We start from the raw sequence: 21,953 nt of genomic DNA on the forward strand, positions 1-21,953 counted from the left end.
GGGAGGCCGAGGCGGGTAGATTACTTGAGGTCAGGAGTTTGAGACCAGTCTGGCCAACATGGTGAAACCCATCTCTACTAAAAAAAAAAAAAAATTAGCCAGGCATGATGGTGCACGCTTGTAGTCCCAGCTACTAGGGAGGATGAGGTGGGAGGATAGCTTGAACTCAGGAGGCGGAGGTTGCAGTGATGAGTTGAGATTGTGCCACTGCACTCCAGCCTGGGCAACAGAGCGAGCCTCTGTCTAAAATAATAATAAATAAATAAATAAATATACTGGCCTGATGCAGTGGCTCTCGCCTGCAATCCCAGCACTTTGGGAGGCCAAGGCGGATGGATTACCCGAGGTCAGGAGTTTGAGACCAGCCTGGACAACATGTCATAGCCCCTGCATACTCCTGCCCTCCTTATCCTGTTTGGTTTTTGCTGCTGTTATTGTTGTTGTTTGTTTTTTGTTTGGTTGGTTTTTTGAGACAGAGTCTCGCTCTGTAGCCCAGGCTGGAGTGCAGTGGCACGATCTCAGCTCACGGCAAGTTCCACCTCCTGGGTTCAAGCAATTCCTCTGCCTCAGCCTCCAGAGTAGCTGCGATTACAGGAGTCTGCCACCATGCCCAGCTAATTTTTTGTATTTTTAGTAGACATGGGATTGTACCATGTTGGTCAGGCTGGTCTTGAATTCCTGACCTCAAGTCATCCCCCCGCCTCAGCCTCCCAAAGTGCTGGGATTACAGGCATGAGCCATCACACCCAGCCTTTGCTGTTGTTTTGTTTTGTTTTTTGCTCCGTATCACCTATCATCTTTTGACCATATTTCACATTTATGTGTTTATTTTCTGTATCCCTGTCCCCATTAGAACGTCAACTCCCTCCTTAAAGGCAAGGATTTTGTGGGTTTTGTTTTGTTTTGTTTTGTTTTCCACTTTATAGCCCAGTGCCTAGAACACTGCCTGGCACATAATAGGTGCTCAGTAAGTATTTGCTGAATGAAGGAATGAGTACATGATGGCAAAAGGTAGACAACAACGGCTCCAGGCCCATGCTGCACGAGCTTCAAGTCCAGCTGAAACACTTCTCTTTCAGCTGGGCGCGGTAGCTCATGCCTATAATCCCAGCACTTTGGGAGGCTGAGGCTGGCAGATCACTTGAGGTCAGGAGTTCAAAACCAGCCTGATCAACATGGTGAAACCCTGTCTCTACTAAAAATACAAAAAAATTAGCCAGGCATGGTGGCAGGTGCCTGCAATCCCAGCTACTTGGGAGGCTGTGGCACAAGAATAGCTTGAGCCTGGGAGGCAGAGGTTGCAGTGAGCCGAGATCGCTCCACTGCAGTCCAGCCTGGGCAACAGAGCAAGACTCCGCCTCAAAAGCAAAAAACAAAAAAACTTCTCTTTCCCAGTGTTCTGGAAAAAGTACAGAATTGAATCCTTGGAGTGGAGCACACTGATTGTCCAGGCCTGGGTCGGATGCCTGTATTTAAATCCAGAAGTAGGCTCAGCCCCATCTAAACCATGTGAGCTGACACTGAGCCAGGAGTCTTCTCTACAAAAACTGTGATGCTGTTACAGGGGCAGAGGAAATGGGAGCCAGGTAGGTAAAAACAATCGTCACCCACCACAAGAAGGAGGCTTATTCACCCAGCTGAGTGCCTAGGACTTAGTATGGGTCCCACGAATAAGTTTGTTCACTTTCCTTGTTTCCTTATTTGGAATCAAGTTGTATTCAGGTGGTGGCGGGGGCAGGGATAGTCTGTTAATACCGAAGATAGGACTAGAATAAGGGGCAGGCGATTCAGGCCCTCCCTGGACACCAACATATCTATGGAATTAAAATACTGCTGAAAAAAAGTAGATGCTTAGAGCCAAAAGAAATCTTGGTTTTTCTACATGTAACTTCTTACATAATCAGCAAAATATTAATTAACCTCTCTTCTGACACTGACAAAGACACCCTTGAGAAGAAATTTAAAAAGAAACGTTGTTGGCTTGAATCTATTGCTGTTGATTAGTTTGTGACCCCACATGTGCTTATTGCATTATACAACCATAAGGCATATCACAAACCCCAAGACCAGCCAAGTGGGCCTCCTGAAATTGGCAGTCATGGTCAGCTAAAATTCTGAAACCATATGGCATAGTGCTGTTATTGGGAATGAGTAATCTATTTTGTTCCAGAATCTAAATTCTAAGCTCTGTAATAATGCCTCCAGTTGTAGAGTCTGAGAGTTGTCCCCAGTATCAGTTTTTCCCTTCTATAGAGGTAAATGCTCCGTGGAAACACATGGCTGGTTGCAGTAAAGACTACATTTCCCAGCCTCCCTTGCAGCAAGAAGCGGCCATGTGACTGAGGTATGGCCAATGAGATGTGAGCAGAACATGGGACAGCAAACAAGGTGATCAGCCATTTGGACCTCTGGATGGGGTCCACATGCTGGTGAGAATGGGACAACAAGTTAGGGGCCCAAGCCTCTGACAACTTTCTGGTACAGAGCCACCGCCCAGCTCAGACATCCCTGTGAAAAACAAATAAACGCTTATCATATTTCAGTCTCTTATTTTATGTCTCTGGGCCCCACAGACGAAATTATGTTCTAATAATACACCTCTAAAGAAGTTGGCCTGGCATACATAAATAAAGCTCTTCCTCCTTCTTCTTTTCTTCTTTTTCTTCCTCCTCCTCCTCCTCCTCTTCCTTCTTTCTTCTTCTCCTTCTCTTCCTTCTTCTCCTTCTCCTCCTCCTTCTCCTTCTCCTTCTCCTTCTTCTCCTCCTTCTCCTCCTCCTCTTCCTCCTCCTTCTTCTCTTCTTCTTGATTCTTCTTCTTTTGGTTTGTTGGTTTTTTTGAAACAGAGTCTTGCTTGACACCCAGGCCTGAGTCCATTGGTGTGATCATAGCTCACTGCAGCCTTGAACTCCTTGGCTCAAGTGATCCACCTTGGCCTCTTGAGTAGCTGAGACTATAGGTGTGCACCACCATGCCTGGCTAATTTTCTTTGTAAAATTTTCTTTAGAGATGTAGTCTCACTGTGTTTCCCAGGCTGGTCTCAAACTCCTGGACTCAAGTGATCCTCCCTCCTTGGCTTCCCAAAGTGCCTGGGATTACAGATATGATCCACCGCACTTGGCCTTCTTTTTTTTTTTTCTTTAACGGAAGTATACAAGTTTGATTCACTTATATCAGTTTATTCCTGTTCAACAAATACTTAAGACCATCTAAAGATGCCTGCCAAGGAGGCCCCTATGTTATAGCGGCATTAAAAAAAATAACAAAAACTGGGCCAGGCACGATGGCTCACATCTGTAATCTCAGCACTTTGGGAAGCCAAGGTGGGAGGATTGCTTGAGCCCAGGAGTTCAAGACCAGCCTGGACAATATAACGAGACCTCATCTCTATTAAAAACAAATAAATAAATGAAACCTACTCTTTGGCACCTTTAACTTAAGTCCTCCAGGGAGCTGGTTTCCAAAGCTGGCTGACTATCAGCAGCATATGGGGAGTCTTTTTAAAATAGATTCCTGGACCTTGGCCAGTTCATTTGAAAAGCAGGATATTGGAAATCTGTAATTTTAAAAACACTCCCCTTCCTACCAGCTGTGTGACTTTGAGCAAGTCATTTAATTTCCGAGTGCTGCCATTGCCTCATCAGTGAAATGGGGACAATAATCGTACCTACCACATAGGTCTGTTGTGGGCATGAATTTATTTCATATGTGCAAAGCACTGAGCATAGTGCCTGGAACAGAGCAAGATCTCTGTGTGTGAGTTATCATTATGTCTGTTGGTGGGAGTATAGATTAATGCAAACTGGCCCGGTGCAATGGCTCACACCTGTAATCCCAGCACTTTAGGAGGCCAAGGTGGGAGGATAACTTCAGCCCAGGAGTTCGAGACCAGCCTGGGCAACATAGCTAGACCTCGTCTTTACAAAAAATTAAAAAAAAAAAAAAAATAGCCAGATGTGGTGGTGCATGTGTGTGGTCCCAGCTACTTGGGAGCCTGAAGTGGGAGGATCACTTGAGTCTAGGAGGTCAAGGCTAAAGTGAGCTGTGATTGTGCCACTGCACTCCAGCCTGGGTGACAGGGTGAAACCCTGTCTCAAACAACGTAAAACAAACAAAAAAAATGATGCAAACTTTCTGGAGGACAGTTTGTGCTATCTACCAAAGTATTAAATATGTACCCAGCAACATGGTAGCTCATCCAGGGCACAAGAATGATCATTACAGCTTACATTTATTCAACAAGTATTTATTGAGCACCTACTACAGTACTTTAGTCAGAATAAAATAGGCTATACTGCAGGGACAAAGCCAGCGTTGCAGTGACTTAATACAGCAAAGGTTCATTTCTTGCTTTTGCATTATGATACAAATTGAGTACTTTTCTCCATCTGGAACAGGCTGATGCAGGTGAATCCCAAAATCAGGGCTCAGCCTGGGAGGGTTCTTGGCTTCACTCAGGAAAGAATTCAAGAGTGAGCCAACAGTGAAAGAAAGCAAGTTTATTAGAGCAGCAGTGTGCAGCAGAGGGGCTGCTCCGTAGACAGAGCAGGGCTACTCCATAGGCAGAGCAGCCCAGAACAGCAGCAAAGACCACAGCCCAGAGCAGTAGTCCTTGCAGACCAGGGCTACCGATATTTATACCCACTCTTAATTATATGCTAATGAAGGGGCGGGTTATTCAGAATTTTCTAGAAAAGTGGCAGAGGGTTCCCAGAACTATATAAGGTAACTTCCAGGTCATTGCCATGGCATTTGCAGACTGTCCTGGTGCTGGTGGGAGTGTCTTTATGCTATGAGCAGTGAGGGCAACTAGAGGTCACTTTTGTCACCATCTGCTTGTTTCAGCGAGTTTCTTTACTGCATCCTGTTTTGATCAGCAGGGCTGTGATTTGTGCTTGGAAAATAAGTCCTACTGATCTCCTACCTCACCTTCTTTATCTGGAAAAGGAAGTCTTAGAGATGAACACTGTAGGCAAAGAGAGAGCTAGAAGGTAACATGGAATTTTTCAACGGCCAGACCTGAAAGTAGCTTCCATCACTTTTGCATATCCCATTGGGCATAAATGAGCCATGTACTTTCAACCTTACTGCAAGGAAGGCTGGGAAAGGTAGAGGAGCATGTAGATATTGAGTGAGGGGTGTCTTTGTGACATCTACTATGTTCAAAGACAGTGCTAGGAGCTGGGGCAGTCATGGGGGAGCAAGACCAACAAGGTTCCTGCCCTCATAGGTCCTCCCTTCTAATGAGGGAGATAGACAATAAACCTCTGCTCTAAACATGATCCCAGATATATGTCATTTTGCACTTGAGCAAGAATATCTGATGGATACATTTTCAGAATCTGTGGCTGCTGCGTCAAAGGGTATATATATTTGTCATTTCAACAGATATGGTCAAATTGTCCTCCATAGGACTGTGCCAATTTCCACCTCCACCATCAAGGTACAAAAGTGCTTTTTTTTGCCTGCAGGCTTGCCAACACAGTGTGTTATCAGACTTTTGGATTTTTGCCAATCTGATAGGCGAGAAATGATCTCTGTGTACTTTTAATTTGCATTTTTCTTATTATAAAGGAAGTTGAACATCCTTTCACATGTTTATGAGCTATTTGTATTTCCTTTTCTGTGTACTTGTGTGTACATATCCCTCATCCATTTTCCTCTGAGTCATTGATTGAGGATATTACTAAATGAAAAAGTGAAGGGACAGAACAGAATGCATAGTAGAATCATTTTTGTAAATGAAAAGTGAAACAATATGTTGGCATATACATATAAATATACTCGCATAGGCATAAAAATTTTCTAGAAGCAGCCAGGCGCGGTGGCTCACGCCTGTAATCCCAGCACTTTGGGAGGCCAAGGTGGGTGGATCACTTGAAGCCAGGAGTTCAAGACCAGCCTGGCCAACATGGTGAAACCCTGTTCCTACTAAAAATACAAAATTAGCTGGGCATGGTGGTGCGCACCTGTAATCCCAGCTACTCAGGAGGCTGAGTCAGGAGAATCACTTGAGCCCAGGAGGCGGAGGTTGCAGTGAGCTGAGATTGCGCCATTGCACTCCAGCCTGGGTAACAAGAGCAAAACTCCACCTCAAAAAAAAAAAAAAAAGAAGGTGTAAACAACTACAGATGTCCACCATGAACACCTCCTGTGTGCAAGGCACTGTGGAAGCTGCTGGGAATACAATGGTGAACAAGATGTGTGTGGTCCCTGCCCTCAAGGAGCTAACATCTTAGAGGGTGAGAGAAGAAGGGCAAATTAACAAATGTTTTAGGTCAGGCGCGGTAGCTCACACCTGTAATCCGAGCACTTTGGGAGGCCTAGGTGGGTGGATTGCTTGAGCCCAGGAGTTCGAGAATAGCCTGGCAAAATGGCAAAACCCCATCTCTACAAAAAATACAAAAATTGGCCAGGCATGGTGATGCATGCCTATAGTCCCAGGTACTGGGGAGGCTGAGGTGGGAGAATCACTTGAGCCCAAGAAGTTGAGGCTGCAGTGAGCCATGATCATGCCACTGCACTCCAGCCTGGGCATCAGAGCGAGATCCTGTCTCAAAAGAAAAGAAAAGACCAACAAATCAGTGGGAAAATGGTCAAAAAAAGATCAAAAAGAGGAAAAAGCAAATGGCTCTTAAGCATACCAAAAGATGCTCAGTTTTGGCCAGGCACAGTGGCTCACGCCAGCACTTTGGGAGGCCGAGGAGGGCGGATCACCCGAGGTTGGGAGTTCAAGACCAGCCTGACCAACATAGAGAAGCCCTGTCTCTACTAAAAATACAAAATTAGCCAGGTGTAGTGGTGCATGCTTGTAATCCCAGCTACTTGGGAGGCTGAGGCAGGAGAGTCGCTTGAACCCGGGAGGCGGAGGTTCCAGTGAGCCAAGGTCACACCATTGCACTCCTGCCTGGGCAACAAGAGTGAAACTCCGACTAAAAAAAAAAAAGCTCAATTGCATGTATAAAAAGAGAAATGAGATACCATTTCCTACCACCACCCCGCCCCCACCATTGCACTGGTTTAACCAAAGTCTCAAATTGACAATCCACTGTGTTGGTAAGGGTGTCAGAAAATGAGCACACGCAAACTGATGCGACTCCACATGAAGAGGACTTTGGCATTATTCATTAAGTTTAAAATGACCATAGCTGTTACCAAGGCAATTCTGCTTTTAGGAGTTCATCCTACAGATTTATTCACACACAGCATGGACGCATAACATTTTAAGGGAATGGGGAGGAACAGAATATATATTCACATTTGCTTGTACATGCATAAACCATCTTAGAAAGATATGCAATGGACTAATAACTGATTGTGGGAAGGAACAGCATATGCAAAAGGCCCCAAGCTGAAAAAGAGGTTGGTGTATTTCAGGAACTAAGAGTGTGCCTGGGAAGGATGACATGTGACAAGTGGTGGCCTGAGGCTGCTGAGCCTTGTAGATCACCACTTAGGAGTCTGGTCTTGAGTCCAAATGCAGTGGGAAGACATTCAAAAGAAGATGATCTGATTTCCATTTTAAAAGCATCTTGCTGCCATTTGGAGAAACTACTGGAGGAAGGCAAGACGCAAGTCAGGAGACTGATTAGCAGGCTGGACAGTTCCCTGAGGGAGGGACAGGGAGCGGGTGGCTGCACCTGAGAGGTGGCAGTGGTGAAAACGAGCAGGCAGATTGAAGACAGTTTGAAATTGCAATGGATGAGTTGGATGTGGCCCAGGAGGGGTAACAGAGCAGACTCAAGGAAGACTCAAGGCTGAATTCTGGCTTACGTGGCCACATGGGTGGCTATGGAGGCTACTGGGCTGGGAAGGCTAGAGAAAGGGGCCCAGATTTCGCTTGGGTACCCCAGGGTGGGGTGTGTTAAGGTTGAGAAGTCAATAAACATCTGAGTGGCAACTTCCCCCTCTCTCTCCACTTCCCCAACCCCGCCTAGGGTCATGGTGAGGGTGGGGAGTGGGAAAAGGGCAGGGCATAAAAATAAAAAATAAAACGCCAGGCACGATGGCTCACACCTGTAATCCCAGCACTTTGGGAGGCTGAGGTGGGCAGATCACTTGAGGCCAGGAGTTTGAGACCAGCCTGGGCAATGTGATGAAACTGTCTCTAGTAAAAATACAAAAATTAGCTGGGCGTAGTGGTGTATGCCTGTAATCCCAGCTACTAGGGAGGCTGAGGCAGAAGAATTGCTTGAACCCGGGAGACAGAGGCTGCAGTGAGCCGAGATCGTGCCACTGCACTCCAGCCTGGGCAACAGAGCAAGACTCTGTCTCAAAAATAAAATAAATAAAATAAAATAAAATAAAATAAAATAAATAAAATAAAAATGTTCATAGCAGCTTTATTCATAATAACTCAAAACTGGAAGTGGCCCAAGTGTTCAACAGCAGAATGGATAAATGTTTACTATCCACAGCAGAATGGATAAATGGATAAATGTTTACTATATATATATATGTATGTGTATATATGTATGTATACATACAAATATATTACAAATATACAAATATATTATTTAATCTATAATCTGGGAAGTCTACTAAAATAGTCTAAATATATTATTAGTATACATTATTTTAGTGTGCATATGTATATATATACACACATATATTAAAAGAATGAAAATGAACAAACTACTGATACAGCCCACACAAATGAATCTCACAGACATTCTGTTGCGCAACAGAAGCCAGACACCAAGGAGTACATATTGTCTAATGCCATTTATTCATTTTATTTATTTATTTATTGAGATGAAGTCTTGTTCTGTTGCCCAGGCTGGAGTGCAGTGGCGCGATGTCGGCTCACTGCAACCTCTGCCTCCCAGGTTCAAGCAATTCTCCTGCCTCAGCCTCCCAAGTAGCTGGGGCTACAGGCACGTGCCACCACGCCCAGCTAATTTTTTGTATTTTTAGTAGAGACAGGGTTTCACTGTGTTGGCCAGGATGGTCTCGATCTCCTGACCTCGTGATCCGCCCACCTCAGCTTCCCAAAGTGCTGGGATTACAGGCGTGAGCCACCGTGCTCGGCTGTCTAATGCCATTTATATGGACTTGTAGAATCAGCAAATCTAACTCGTGATGAAAGTAAAAACTGAGAAACCAAGTTTCCTGGAAGCACAAAAGGCAAGGCAAGATCTATTTTGAAGCAAGCTCAGAGTGGCAGCAGATTATGTAGGGGCCACAAGGCAGCCTTTAAGCTGCACCTCAAAAATAGCATCTGTCCCCTGGATATTTTAAGAGTGTCCTCTGCAGGGCATGGCAGGAGCCAGAGGCCTGTTTGGGCATCTCCAAGCGTGCACCTAAAGAATGTATCATCTGGCCGGGCACGGTGGCTCATGCCTATAATCCCAGCACTTTGGGAGGCCAAGGCGGGTGGATCACCTGAGGCCGGGAGTTCAAGACAAGCCTGGCCAACATGGTGAAACCCCGTCTCTACTAAAAATACAAAAATTAGCCAGGCAAGGTGGTGCATGCCTGTAATCCCGGCTGCTGGGGAGGCTGAGGCAGTAGAATCACTTGAACCCAGGAAGTGAAGTTTGCAGTGAGCTAAAAAAAAAAAAAAAAAAAAAGGAATGTATCACCCCGCCTCCCCTTGACCCTGAGCACCACCCGGCTCCAAAGCTGTGTCAGCAGCAATATAAAAGGTGCAGAGATAAAGAGAGACATTTAATTAGAAGATGATTTGGGAATCATCTTCTAATTTAGGAACCAAGCTGCAAAATATCTTTCTCCCTTAATGGCACAAATGGGGAATTTGGACTTTGAACCTTTTCTCTTGTCAGGCCACCAAAAACGTCTTCCTGTATTAATAGAAGGCAAATGTAAGGATTCAGGGCCAGGAGGGCTGTGGGCTGTGGGTCTTAGATTGTCTAGAGTCAGAACATTAAGAACATGAGAGCCCTTTCTGGACCTCTTTGTTTATGCGGGGCTTCTGCTGGGGCTTATAATCACCTCATCACTGCTGCTATTTTTGCAGTAATTATTAAGTACTTTAATACGTGCACAGGGCATGTGCAGTCCTTCAATTACACTGCTCCTGCCTCATTGTCGGGAGGCGAGTTGGAATTGTTCTCCTTGTTTTGCACAAAAGAAAGCAAAGGCCTGGGTGAATGAACAAGTTCAGGGTCAAAAATGAGTCAGCACAAGGGAGATGGCAGGAGGTGGGTGGGAACCCGGCAGTCCCTAGTTCCCGCCCAGCTTGAAGTGCTAGCAGGTCTAAATTCAAGGCATGTGCCACATCCTTGAAGAAGTGATCGACGGCCGGGCGTGGTGGCTCACGCCTGTAATCCTAGCACTTTAGGAGGCCGAGGCAGGAGGATTGCTTGAGCCTAGAAGTTCGAAATCAGCCTGGGCAACATAGTGAGACCCTCTCTAAAAAAAATAAAAATAGGCCACGGATGGTGGCTCACACCTGTAATCCCAGCACTTTGGGAGGCCGAGGCAGGCAGATCACTTGAGGTCAGGAGTTCAAGACTAGCCTGGCCAACATGGCAAAATCCCATCTCTACTAAAAATACAAAAATTAGCTGGGTGTGCTGGCGCATGCCTGTAATCCCAGATACTCGGGAGGCTGAGGCAGGAGAATTGCTTGAACCCGGGAGGCAGAGATTGCAGTGAGCTAAGATTGTGCCACTGCACTCCAGCCTGGGCCACAGAACAAGACTCTGTCTGAAAAAAAGAAAAAAAAATCACCTGGTTCATAGTAAGATGTCATTGTTAATTTTGGAAGGTGTGCTAATAGCATGGTGGTTTCAGAAAAAAAAAAAAAAAGAACAACTTAGTATCAACTACTGGTGAAGTGACAAAAGGCTTACGATGAAATTGACAAAATGAATGTGGATAATTGCTGAAGGTGGATACTGGAGAGTTAGTTATATGACTCTATTTTTCTAGATGATGTTTGAAATTTTCCATAGTACATGTTTTGAAATTGTATAGACTAAATGTTGCAAACTTGTATCTTATGGGTAAAATGCTGCTCACAAAAATCCTGTACCTCCTTTAGATGGGTCCTTGGCTCTCAGTGTGCCACAGTCCCCACCCTTCCCTATTATAGCCTGACACTGTTCATCATCACTCTTGGGTCACTGTTTTTGTTTAAGTAGAATTAAAAGGAAACTGAATGAGTTCTCTTGGGGCAAGACTGTTATTTGCCATCCATATGTCCAACCTCTACTTCTTTCTTACTTATAGAAACTCCTACACTATTGGCAATGAATTTTGAAATAACATTTCCCAGTTTCTCTTGAAGCTAAGAATTGCCCAGTGTTTCTCAGTCAGAGGTGATTTTGTCCCCCAGAGGACATCTGGCAAAGTCTTGGAAGACAGTTTTGGTTACCACAACAGGGGCAGGGAGGGAGGCAGGGAGTGCTCTACTGATATCTGGTGGGTGGGTAGAGGTCAGGGTACTGCTAGACAGCCCTCCAATCCCCAGGTCTCCCTCCCACAACAAAGAATTATGCAGTCCAAAATGTCAGTAGTGCCCGATTGAATGGCCAATGCATGATAAGTGGAAGTTGATGTTGGGGTTTCCAAGAAAGCCCTTTGGTGTCTTGCCAATCTTCCTAGAATATAAACATGATGGCTGGAGTTTGAGCAGCCATTCTGTGACCTTGAGGAGGGAGGTTCTATGCTAAAGATGGAAGGAAATGGGATCCCCGAAAACATCATAGAATTGCCATATCTGTTCTTTGGAATGCAGATTTTCAGACATGGTTTTATGTGAAAGAAATAAATCTCTAATATGTTTAAGTCACTGAAATCAAGTCTCTGTTACTGTCAGCCAAGTGCAGTTTCTAAATGATTTGTCTCTGTGCCCAGTTCTCTATGCTAATGGAGAAAGGAAAGATAGACTAAGAGGGCCATATGTTTAAAGAAAAAAAAAAAAAAAAGGCCTGGGACATGCTGGCTCTTGCCTATAATCCCAGCACTTCGGGAGGCCGAGGCGGGCAGATCACCTGAGGCTGGGAGTTTGAGACCAGCCTGACCAACATGGAGAAACCCCGTCTCTACTAAAAATGCAAAATTAGCTGGGCATGGTGGCGCATGCCTGTAATCCCAGCTACTCGGGAGGCTGACGCAGGAGAATCGCTTGAACCAGGACCCGGGAGGCAGAGGTTGCAGTGAGCTGAGATCGCGCCATTGCACTCCAGCCTGGGTGACAAGAGTGAAACTCCGTCTCAAAAAAGAAAAGAAAAAGAAACGAGAAAATACGTTTCTTCACAACAATGAAACAGTTCATTGCCTTCATTTATGTCACTTCTTGATCCCTGTAGGCATTTGAGTTTGCAACTCCTGGACTGGTCCTTAACCAAAAAGATGAGGAAACTGAGGTCCTCAGCAGGTTAATGATGAGTTAGGAGTGAATCCACAACCTGGTCCCTCTCCCCGCATTTCTAAGGTACCAAGGCCTACGCACTGGCGAAGAATATGGTTTCTGCAGCCAGACAGACGTTGGTTCAAACACTGGTACTGACACAGGAAAAGTTCCCTTATCCTCCTCGAAGGGCATGCGATGGGGGTGTGGCTCACTTCCTCAGTGCTTCGCTGCTCAAAACCCCTAGGGGGAGCAGGCAGACGGGCAGGGTGTGGGACTCTGGCCACGCAGCGTCTAGGCGTGAATGTTTACAGCTCCTGAGGCCCCAGTGGGCGTGTGTTCCAGGGTGCTCTTTTCGTTTAACCGTCCATAGACAGCTTGTGTTAGCTCAATTAGACCCCTTGCCTTATCTCAAGGACAGAGGGCTATCTGTATCCTGGGGTTTCTTGCCTTGGCGTACCTGAAGAACTGGATCACACGTAGGCTTGGAGAATGAACGCAAGGTTTTATTGAGTGGAGGTAGCTCTCAGCAGATGGGGGAGCCAAAGGGGATGGAGTGGGAAGGCGATTTTCCCCTGGACCTGGGCCGCTGAGTGGCCCAGGCTCTCCTCCCACCACCCCAGCCAAACTCCAAGTTGTTCCACCGGTCGATGGCCTGCTGGCATCTGCCGGTGCCTGATGGTGTGCTCTCATGCCAGTTCCTTCTTCTCCAGGTCTAGTTGCTTGTGTCTTTTTTTTTTTTTTTTTTTTTTGAGATTTAGTCTCACTCTGTTACTCAAGCTGGAGTGCAGTGGCATGATCTGGGCTCACTGCAACCTCTGCCTCCTGGGTTCAAGTGATTCTAGTGCCTCAGCTGGGACTACAGGCACCTGCCACCACGCCCGCCTAATTTTTTTGTATCTTTTTTTTTTTTTTTTTTTTTTTTTTTTTTTAGTAAAGATGGGGTTTCACCATGTTGGCCAGGCTGGTCTCAAACTCCTGACCTCAAGTGATCTGCCCACCTTGGCCTCCCAAAGTGCTGGGATTACAGGCGTGAGCCACCGCACCTGGCCGTCGCTTGTGTCTTCTTCCACCAGTGCGTTCTTCTTGGCATCCAGCCACTTGTGTCTCTGCCTGCTAGGGTCTGGGGGTTTCTATAGGCATAGGATGGGGGCGTGGCAAGCCAGGGTGGTCTTGGGAAATGCAACATTCGTGCAGGAAAACAGAAATGCCTGTCCTCACGTAGGTCCGTGGGCACAGGCCCAGGGGTGAAGCCCTACCCAGGGACCACGCCCTTCCCTTCCCAGCACTTCCCTGCCCCCACTCCCGTATCAGTACCACCAATTACTAGCTCTGTGGCTTTATGCAGCTCACTTAGCTTCTCTGTCTCTCAGTTTCTGATGCGTAAAACAAGGATGACAATAAAGGCACCTATTGCCTAGGGCCATTAGGTGGATTCACATCAGTCCGTGCCCTGGCAGGAGGAGAGTTTTATGAATGGACTGTCTATAAAATGTAGGTGGGGACCGTCCATTTCTCCAACAGCTGGGAAGGATGTTGGTGTTGAAGTTTACACACCTATCAAGGACAGTAACTACCATGGCTTCTGGTGCTTTGACAAAACCTCCAATGCATAGCCTTCTGGTTAAGCGTCTGTGATTTCATATTATTGGAGCATTCATGGTATCCCTGGTGGTTGCAGCTTTCTACAAGATTGCTATGGCCGAACCAAGAAAGAAGGCATACGCAGATTTCTACAGAAATTATGATTCCATAAAAGATTTTGAGATGAGGAAGGCTGGTATCTTTCAGAGTACAAAGTGATCTTGGAATATGAAGAATTTCTTTGAGTTGAAATATCTAGAAGTTTGTCACTGACTTGTGTTCCTGAACTATGAAACATGAATGAATATGTCAGCTAAGAAATAGTTTCTCTTGGTCAGGCGTGGTGGCTCATGCCTGTTATCCCAGCACTTTGGGAAGCTGAGGCGGGCAGATCGCTTGAGATCAGGAGTTCGAGACCAGTCTGGCCAACATGGTGAAACCCCATCTCTACTAAAAATACAAAATTAGCTGGGCATGGTGGGCATGCCTGTAATCCCAGCTTCTTGGGAGGCCGAGGCAGAAGAATTGCTTGAACCTGGGAGGTGGAGGTTGCAGTGAGCTGAGATCGCAGCACCGCCCTGCAGCCTGGGCAACAGAGCCAGACTGTCTGAAAAAAAAAAAAAAAAAGGAAAAGAAAAAAGAAAGAAAGAAAGAAAGAGTTTCTTGACTAGGTGTGGTGGCTCATTCCTGTAATCCTAGCATTTTGGGAGGCCAAGGTGGGCAGATCACGAGGTCAGGAGTTCGAGACCAGCCAGGCCAACATGGTGAAACCCCATCTCTACTAAAAATACGAGAAATAATTAGCCAGGTGTGGTGGCGTGCGCCTGTAATCCCAGCTACTCAGGAGGCTGAGGCAGGAGAATCACTTGAACCTGGGAGGCGGAGGTTGCAGTGAGCCGAGATTGTGCCATCATTGCACTCCAGCCTGGGCAATGGAGCAAGACTGTTTCAAAAAAAAAAAAAAGAAAGAAAAAAAAGAAAAAAGAAATAGTTTCTCTTGATAAATAAACAATTAACAACAACAATAACAAAATGTAGGTGGGATTTACAGAACCCAGGGATGCTGCATCACTCCAGCGATAGTAACAAAGGGAGTTTATCACAGCTAGATAGTAACAGAGGGGTCCTTAGCACCCCCACATAGTAACAGTGGCCTGGAGGAGCAAAGGAAGAAGTGGTCTCCAGGTCCAGAGAGAGGGAGCTCTACAGAGAGGCTACCTGACAGAAGCTGTGTCATCCTTCAGTCAAGGGACACAGTAGACCATGGTGACCCAACAGGAGAGCTGGGGGAATAAACAGCTCCTCTGGAATTGAGATGTTCAGTTAGCCAAGTGCATTTGTTAGCTGCCCAACCACTCTAAGCTCACGAGGAGCAAGAGAAAGCATGCCTTCTTAGTAGCTACTAAACAAATCCTGAGATGAACTCTGATTGAACCAATCTGTGCCACATACCCATCTCTAAGCCAATCATCGTAGTTTTTTTGTTTGTTTGTTTGTTTGAGACGGAGTCTCGCTCTGTCACCCAGGCTGCAGTGCAGTGGTGCAATCTTGGCTCACTGCAACCTCCACCTCCCAGGTTCAAGCAATTTTCCTGCCTCAGCCTCCCAAGTAGCTGGGATTACAGGCTCCCGCCACCATACCCGGCTAATTTTAGTATTTTTAGTAGAGACGGGGTTTCACCATGTTGTCCAGGCTGGTCTCGAACTCCTGACCTCAGGTCATCCCCCCGCCTCAGCCTCCCAAAGCACTGGATTACAGGCGTGAGCCACTGTACCTAGCCAATCATCATAGTTATTGTACCTCCACTGCTCTGGTTCGTTGGTGCTAAGTCACATGCTCCTTGTTGGGTTACAGGCTCAAGGGAACTTCCTGATGGAGCGAACTTCCAGAAGGGGTGGTTCCCAAATGGAAACTCAGGTTACTTGGCATGGAAGAGAGTGCCGTAGATTCAGGGTGGCCCCAAATCAGCAAACATTCATTATATTCACGTTATAAAATGAAAGAACATTCAGAAAACAGCATAAAGTAGCATGATACCATTGGTAGGCACTGTGGGATTTCCCATCAGCCATCCTCAAAACTTATTTTTGGCAAATGAAAGTGTTGGACTAGGGTAACTCTTCCCTGCCAACATTCAACATGTGTGACTATCCCCAGAAAGTAACTACGTAGGAACAAGAACATGAGATGCTCCCAGCTGGAGCCCCAAGGGCCATTTCCAAAGCTACCAACAGAGCGTCCTCTGTGTTTCAGTAAGGGTAACTTTCTGCAAAATACAACAAAGATGTTCATGTGAAATAAAGGGGGTGATTTATGTATGAAAAGGTGGGGTGTGAGCCTTGTGAATACCATGGGAAGATGAGGTCCTTCCACTCAGGGAATAGGAGCCCCGTGGTTTGGCCCCAGATGGTAAACAGGAGTGCTGTTTAGTTGAAGAACAGCATGTCCCATTCTGTTCTTTTGGGGAGATTTAAAGCAAGACCGTTTGCAATTGGATCTAATTGATAAGTGTCTTAGTTTGGAATCCCCTGTTGGCACACCTCATATCTTAGTTTAGATTCTCTAGATACAGACCCTGAGACAAAGACTCAAGGACACATCACTTCTTTGGAAGGCAAAAGAAATACGAGTAGAGAAGAAAAGAGACCCAGGGAAAGGAGGACAACCAATATTAAGCAAGTTATCAAGACAGTTACTGCCCTAGGCAAGTGAAGCTTAATTCCACCTGTGTAGAACACATGTCTCAGAGTTATCTTACCTGAAGGATCAGCAACTCCATCTTGGAAGCTAATCCGCCATGTTGGCTTCTGATTAACCCCTGTTCCAAGAAGGCCTCTAAGATTTCTAGTTTATCTATTATTCCTTGTGTAAGAGCAGGTTCTGACTCTATATCCTGTCCTTAGGTCAAACAACCTTGATGTTATCTTACTTCAACTGTTCTACACATCCCTTCTGAACCACCCCTCTCCTATGGTATAGAAGCCCTGGGTCTGGGAGATAATGGAGTGGGGATCCACCATCTTGTCTGGCCACCGCAGGAGACACAGACGTGGCATCTGTTTCTAAGTTTCTATTAAAAGTTTCTTTCTAAGGAACTGAGTATGTCAGCATCATCTCTTCAGCCTCTCAGCTTCCTTGGACTTTGGGGTAAGTTTGCATAGACCTGCCCACTGCAAAACAATCAGGAAGCTGGGGTATTTATACACCACCTCTATCCATTCCTTGGTTGAAGGCAGCTGGAAAGAAGAGAAGGAATATTCATTCTCCAACCTCCTTTAGGCTGCTTGACTCTGACAACCAGAAGAAAAAACCCAAAAAACTCATAGAAAAAGATGCACATACTACCAGTTAGAAGTTGGGCAGTTGGCCAGGCGCAGTGGCTCATGCCTGTAATCCCAGCACTTTGGGAGGCTGAGGAGGGCGGATCACCTGAAGTCAGGAGTTCAAGACCAGCCTAGTCAACATGGTGAAACAAAATACAAAAATTAGCCGGGCGTGACGGTGGGTGCCTGTAATCCCAGGTACTTGGGAGGCTGAGGCAGGAGAATTGCTTGAACCCGGGAGGCAGAGGTTGTAGTGAGCCAAGATCATGCCACTGCACTCCAGTCTGGGCAACAGGGCAAGACTCTGTCTCAAAAACAAACAAACAAACAAAAAAAAGAGCTAGTTACCTTTATGGGCAACTGGGGCACAGTCCCAGAGGGGCCCTCAGGGGATGATGTGGAGTATACCGCAAGATTGTCTCAGGAAGGGTTGGGGAAACTGTGCTGTTTATCCGCAATGACCACTCTCAGCGGTTGAAGGTGGTGCCCGGGGCCAGCAACTCCAGTACACTTCCCTTCCCACACATGTGACCTGCCATGCGCACATGAAGCACACAGGCTCTGGGCAGAGAGATGCGGGTGCCGGAGGTTGGGTATACGTCACCAGCATTTATAGAACTGTCCATCTAGCTTCAGGCAGCTCTCTTGAGTGGGCTGAGGAGGATGAGTGAGCACTGATGCTGGCCAGGAAACTTAGGAGAAGGAGGGGAAAGGAAGAAAGGAACAAAACTAACATTTATAAAGTGCAGGGTAGTTGCCAGCCATTAGCACAGTTACTTTCGTTTTCTGATTCCCATTGTACAGTTGAGAAAAACGAGCTCAGAGAGGGAAAGTGACTTGCTCTTGACTATGTGACAGTTAAGTGCTGGAATTCCAGCTCAGATTGAGTCTACAAAGACAGTGTTCTCTATCTCCCTCTTCCTTTTCTCCTTGTCCTCCTCTTCTCTGCTTTTCTCTCCCTCTCCCTCCTCCCCACCACCTTGTTTATTTTTTTTCCAAATAATATTTAGAGTTACCAAGACAGAAGTCAAGAGGAAAGCTTTCTGGTGTCCTTAAAGATGTGCTTTATGAAAGATAGTTTTCATTTGCTCTTTTATTCATTTGACACATTTATTAAGCACCTATGATACGCAATATATAGAAAACAAGACAGACACAATCCTTGCCCCTTAGGCTTTATACTCTAGCAGGAAAAGGAGGCATTAAACAGCTAAATACACATGGCGAGGAGGGGGTAAGGGAAGCCTAGATGGGGAAGTGGGGGAGTGAGATGGGAACAGGAAGGCAGCCATAAAAAGCAATTAGTTGATTACGTTGTGATACAGGTTTCTCAACCTCCGCATTAGTGAAATTTTGACTGGATCATTCCTGTAGGCTGTTCTGGGCATTGTAGGATATTTAGCAGCGTCTCTGGCCTCTACCCACTAGATGCCAGTAGCATTCTTACCCTGGTTTTGACAACCAAAAATGTTTCCAGACATTGTCAAATGGCCCCTGGGGGGCAAAATCACTCCCAGTTGAGAACCACTGTGGTAAATAAGAAAGGCAGATACGAAAACATGTAACAAGGAAACAGAATCTAGGCATACCCACAAGGAAGTGCCTTTAGGACGAGATCCATGTGACAATAGGCATTAGCCAGGCAGAAAGCAGGAATGGCATCCTAAGTAGAGTAGACAGCATGTGCAAAGGCCCTGTAGCCAGACCTGAAAGGATACTGGAGAACAGAGAGTGGCCTGGTGAAATGGGCAGGGCTCAGTTCACACAGGGCCTTAGAGTCTGAGTTATAAATTTTAGCCTTTATCCATGGTCACTTTTCCTTTTTTTTTTTTTTTTTTTTGACACAGTTTCAGTCTTGTTGCCCAGGCTAGAGTGCAATTGTGCAATCTCAGCTCACTGCAACCTCCGCCTCCCAGGTTCAAGCAATTCTCCTGCCTCAGCCTCCCGAGTAGGGATGTGCCACCATGCCTGGCTAATTTTGTATTTTTAGTAGAGACGGGGGTTTCTCCATGTTGGCCAGGCTAGTTTCAAACTCCTGACCTCAGGTGATCTGCCCACCTCGGCCTCCCAAAGTGCTGGGATTACAGGCGTGAGCCACCATGCCCAGCCACTTTTACTTTTAAAATTCATTTCAGCATGGTTAAAATAATAAAAATAAACTAAATGACAACAGACAACATCAAGTGCTGACTAAGATGCAGAGCAACTGGAACTCCCATACACTGGTGGAAATGCACAACGGTAGAGCTTCTTTGGTTGTTTTTTTTTTTCTTTCTTTCTTTCTTTCCTTCCTTCCTTCCTTCCTTCCTTTCCTCTTTCTTTCTTTCTCTCTCTCTTTCTTTCTTTCTTTCTTTCTTTCTTTCTTTCTTTCTTTCTTTCTTTCTTTTTTTGAGACAGAGTCTTGCTCTGTTGCCCAGGTTGAGGTGCAGTGACACAATCTCGGCTCACTGGAACCTCCACCTCCTGGGTACAAGGGATTCTCGTGCCTCAGCCTCCTACAGTACAGCTTCTTTGGAAACAGTTTGGCAGGTTTGTTTGTTTGTTTGTAAAGTTAAACCTACGGTTATCATACAACTCACCAATCCTGGCCAGGCATAGTGGCTTATGCCTATAATCCCAGCACTTTGGGAGGCCAAGATGGGAGGATTGCTTGAGGTCAGGAGTTTGAGACCAGCCTGGTCAACACAGTAAGACCCCGTTTCTATAAAAATAAATAAATAAATAAATAAATAAATAAAGTAAAAATCCCACTTTTAGAAATATACCCAAATGAAATAAAAACTGTTTATTTAATAAAAACACAAAAACCTGTACAAGAACGTTTATAGTGGCTTTATTCATAAAGGCCAAAATATGGGAAACCATCTAAATGCCCCTCTACTGAGGAAAGATTGAACAAACGGCAGTACATCTGTACAATGGAATACTACTCACGAGTAACAAGATGAGAACTCTTTTTTTTTTTGAGATGGAGTTTCGTTCTTATCACCCAGGCTGGAGTGCAGCAGCATGATCTTGGCTCACTGCAACCTCCACCTCCCGTTTGCAAGCAATTCTCCTGCCTCAGCCTCCCGAATAGCTGGGATTACAGGTGCCCGCCACCACGCCCAGCTAATTTTTCTATTTTTAGTAGAGACAGGGTTTCACCATGTTGACCAGGGTGGTTTTGAGCTCCTGACCTCGGGTGATCCACCTGCCTTGGCCTCCAAAGTGTGGGGATGAGAGGCATGAGCCATCGCGCCCAGGTGAGAACTCTTAATACACACGATGATGTAGATGAACCTCCAAAGCATCATGCTGAATTATAGAAGCCAGACTCAGAGGGTACATGTTATATGATTCCATTTATATAGTCTTTTGAAAAAGGGACAACTATAGGAACAGAAAACAGTTAAGTGGTTGCCAAAGGCTGGGAGTGGGCACAAGGGTAGACTACAAAGGGTCCCCAGGAAATTGGGAAGACAATTAATAGAATGGTTCTAAACCTTGACTGTGGTGGTGGTTAGATGACTGTGCATTTGTCAAAAAATACAGAACCCAGTCAGCCAGGTGCGGTGGCTTATACCTGTAATCCCAGCACTTTGGGAGGCTGAACTGGGCAAATCGCTTGAGCCGAGACCAGCCTAGGCAACATAATGAGGCCCCATCTCTACAAAAAATAGAAAAAATTAGTTAAGCTTGGTGGCGCCTGCCTGTAGTGCAGTCCCAGTTACTTGGGACGCTGAGGTGGGAGGATCGCTTGAGCCTAGGTGGTTGAGGCTGCAGTGAACCAAGACTGCACCACTGCACTCCAGCCTGGGCAACAAAGCGAGACCCTGTCTCAAAAAAAAAGAAAAAAGAAAAAAAATCACAGAACTGTATACTAGATAGGATAGATTTTACTGCAGGTAAATAATGCCTTTATTTTTTGAAAGTAAAAAGTTATTATAATGAAGACTCTACAGTAGGTCTATCAGTTGCACATTTGGGGGGAAATCAAGCTGGGTTCTGGTTCAAGGAAAAAATTAAGAAAGGTAAGAAGAAAAAGAAAATAAATTTTAAAATCTAAAAAGAAAAAGAAAATAGTCCGCGTGTGGTGACTCAGGCCTGTAATCTCAGCACTTTGGGAGGCTGAGGCAGGCGGATCACCTGAGGTCAGGAGTTCGAGACCAGCCTGGCCAACATGGTGAAACCCTGTCTCTACTAAAAGTACAAAAATTAGCCGGGTGTGGTGGCCGGCGCCTGTAATCCCAGCTACTCGAGAGGCTTAGGCAGGAGAATTGCTTGAACTCAGGAGGCAGAGGTTGTAGTGAGCCGAGATTACACCACTGCACTCCAGCCTGGGTGACAGGGCAAGACTCTGTTTCAAAAAAAAAAAAAAAAAGATAAAGAAAAAGAAAATAAATCAAGCTTGGTAAGAACTATGAGGTAAATCTTGACTCCCGGGGGGACTCGGGTAACAGGAAGCTAGATGGTGGTCATGCTCACCATTTGAACCACATGTACCTATGAGCAAACGAAAGAAAGATAAGGCAATGCAGACATTTGGTGCTGGTTGACAGGAATGACTGTTTTCCAGCACATACAAAAAAGATTGTTCCAAACAGGTAAATGCAAAAGCACTCTGGGGAAACAGTGCTGGGTTCCACACTTATCTTCGTGAGCTCAGCTCATGGATAGACCAACCTGCAGGAGGAGGAGAAACCTCAACTGAGCAGAAAATAATCCTCAGACTCTTGGCCATCTTCAGA

General features: G+C 45.7%; 1 pseudogene, besides 2 other annotated features; it reads left to right on the forward strand.

Moving 5' to 3' along the window:
- Positions 13,821–14,233, forward strand: COX6CP2 (cytochrome c oxidase subunit 6C pseudogene 2; annotated as a pseudogene).
- Positions 17,910–17,959: an enhancer, noted in NCBI's record as "active region_18087". NCBI's record gives its function as "activates an Ori minimal core promoter by ATAC-STARR-seq in GM12878 lymphoblastoid cells {active_cell/tissue: GM12878}" and the evidence as "EXISTENCE:reporter gene assay evidence [ECO:0000049][PMID:35858748]".
- Positions 18,000–18,109: an enhancer, noted in NCBI's record as "active region_18088". NCBI's record gives its function as "activates an Ori minimal core promoter by ATAC-STARR-seq in GM12878 lymphoblastoid cells {active_cell/tissue: GM12878}" and the evidence as "EXISTENCE:reporter gene assay evidence [ECO:0000049][PMID:35858748]".

The sequence above is a fragment of the Homo sapiens genome, chromosome 20, assembly GCF_000001405.40.
Source record: "Homo sapiens chromosome 20, GRCh38.p14 Primary Assembly".
Lineage (NCBI taxonomy): Eukaryota > Metazoa > Chordata > Mammalia > Primates > Hominidae > Homo > Homo sapiens.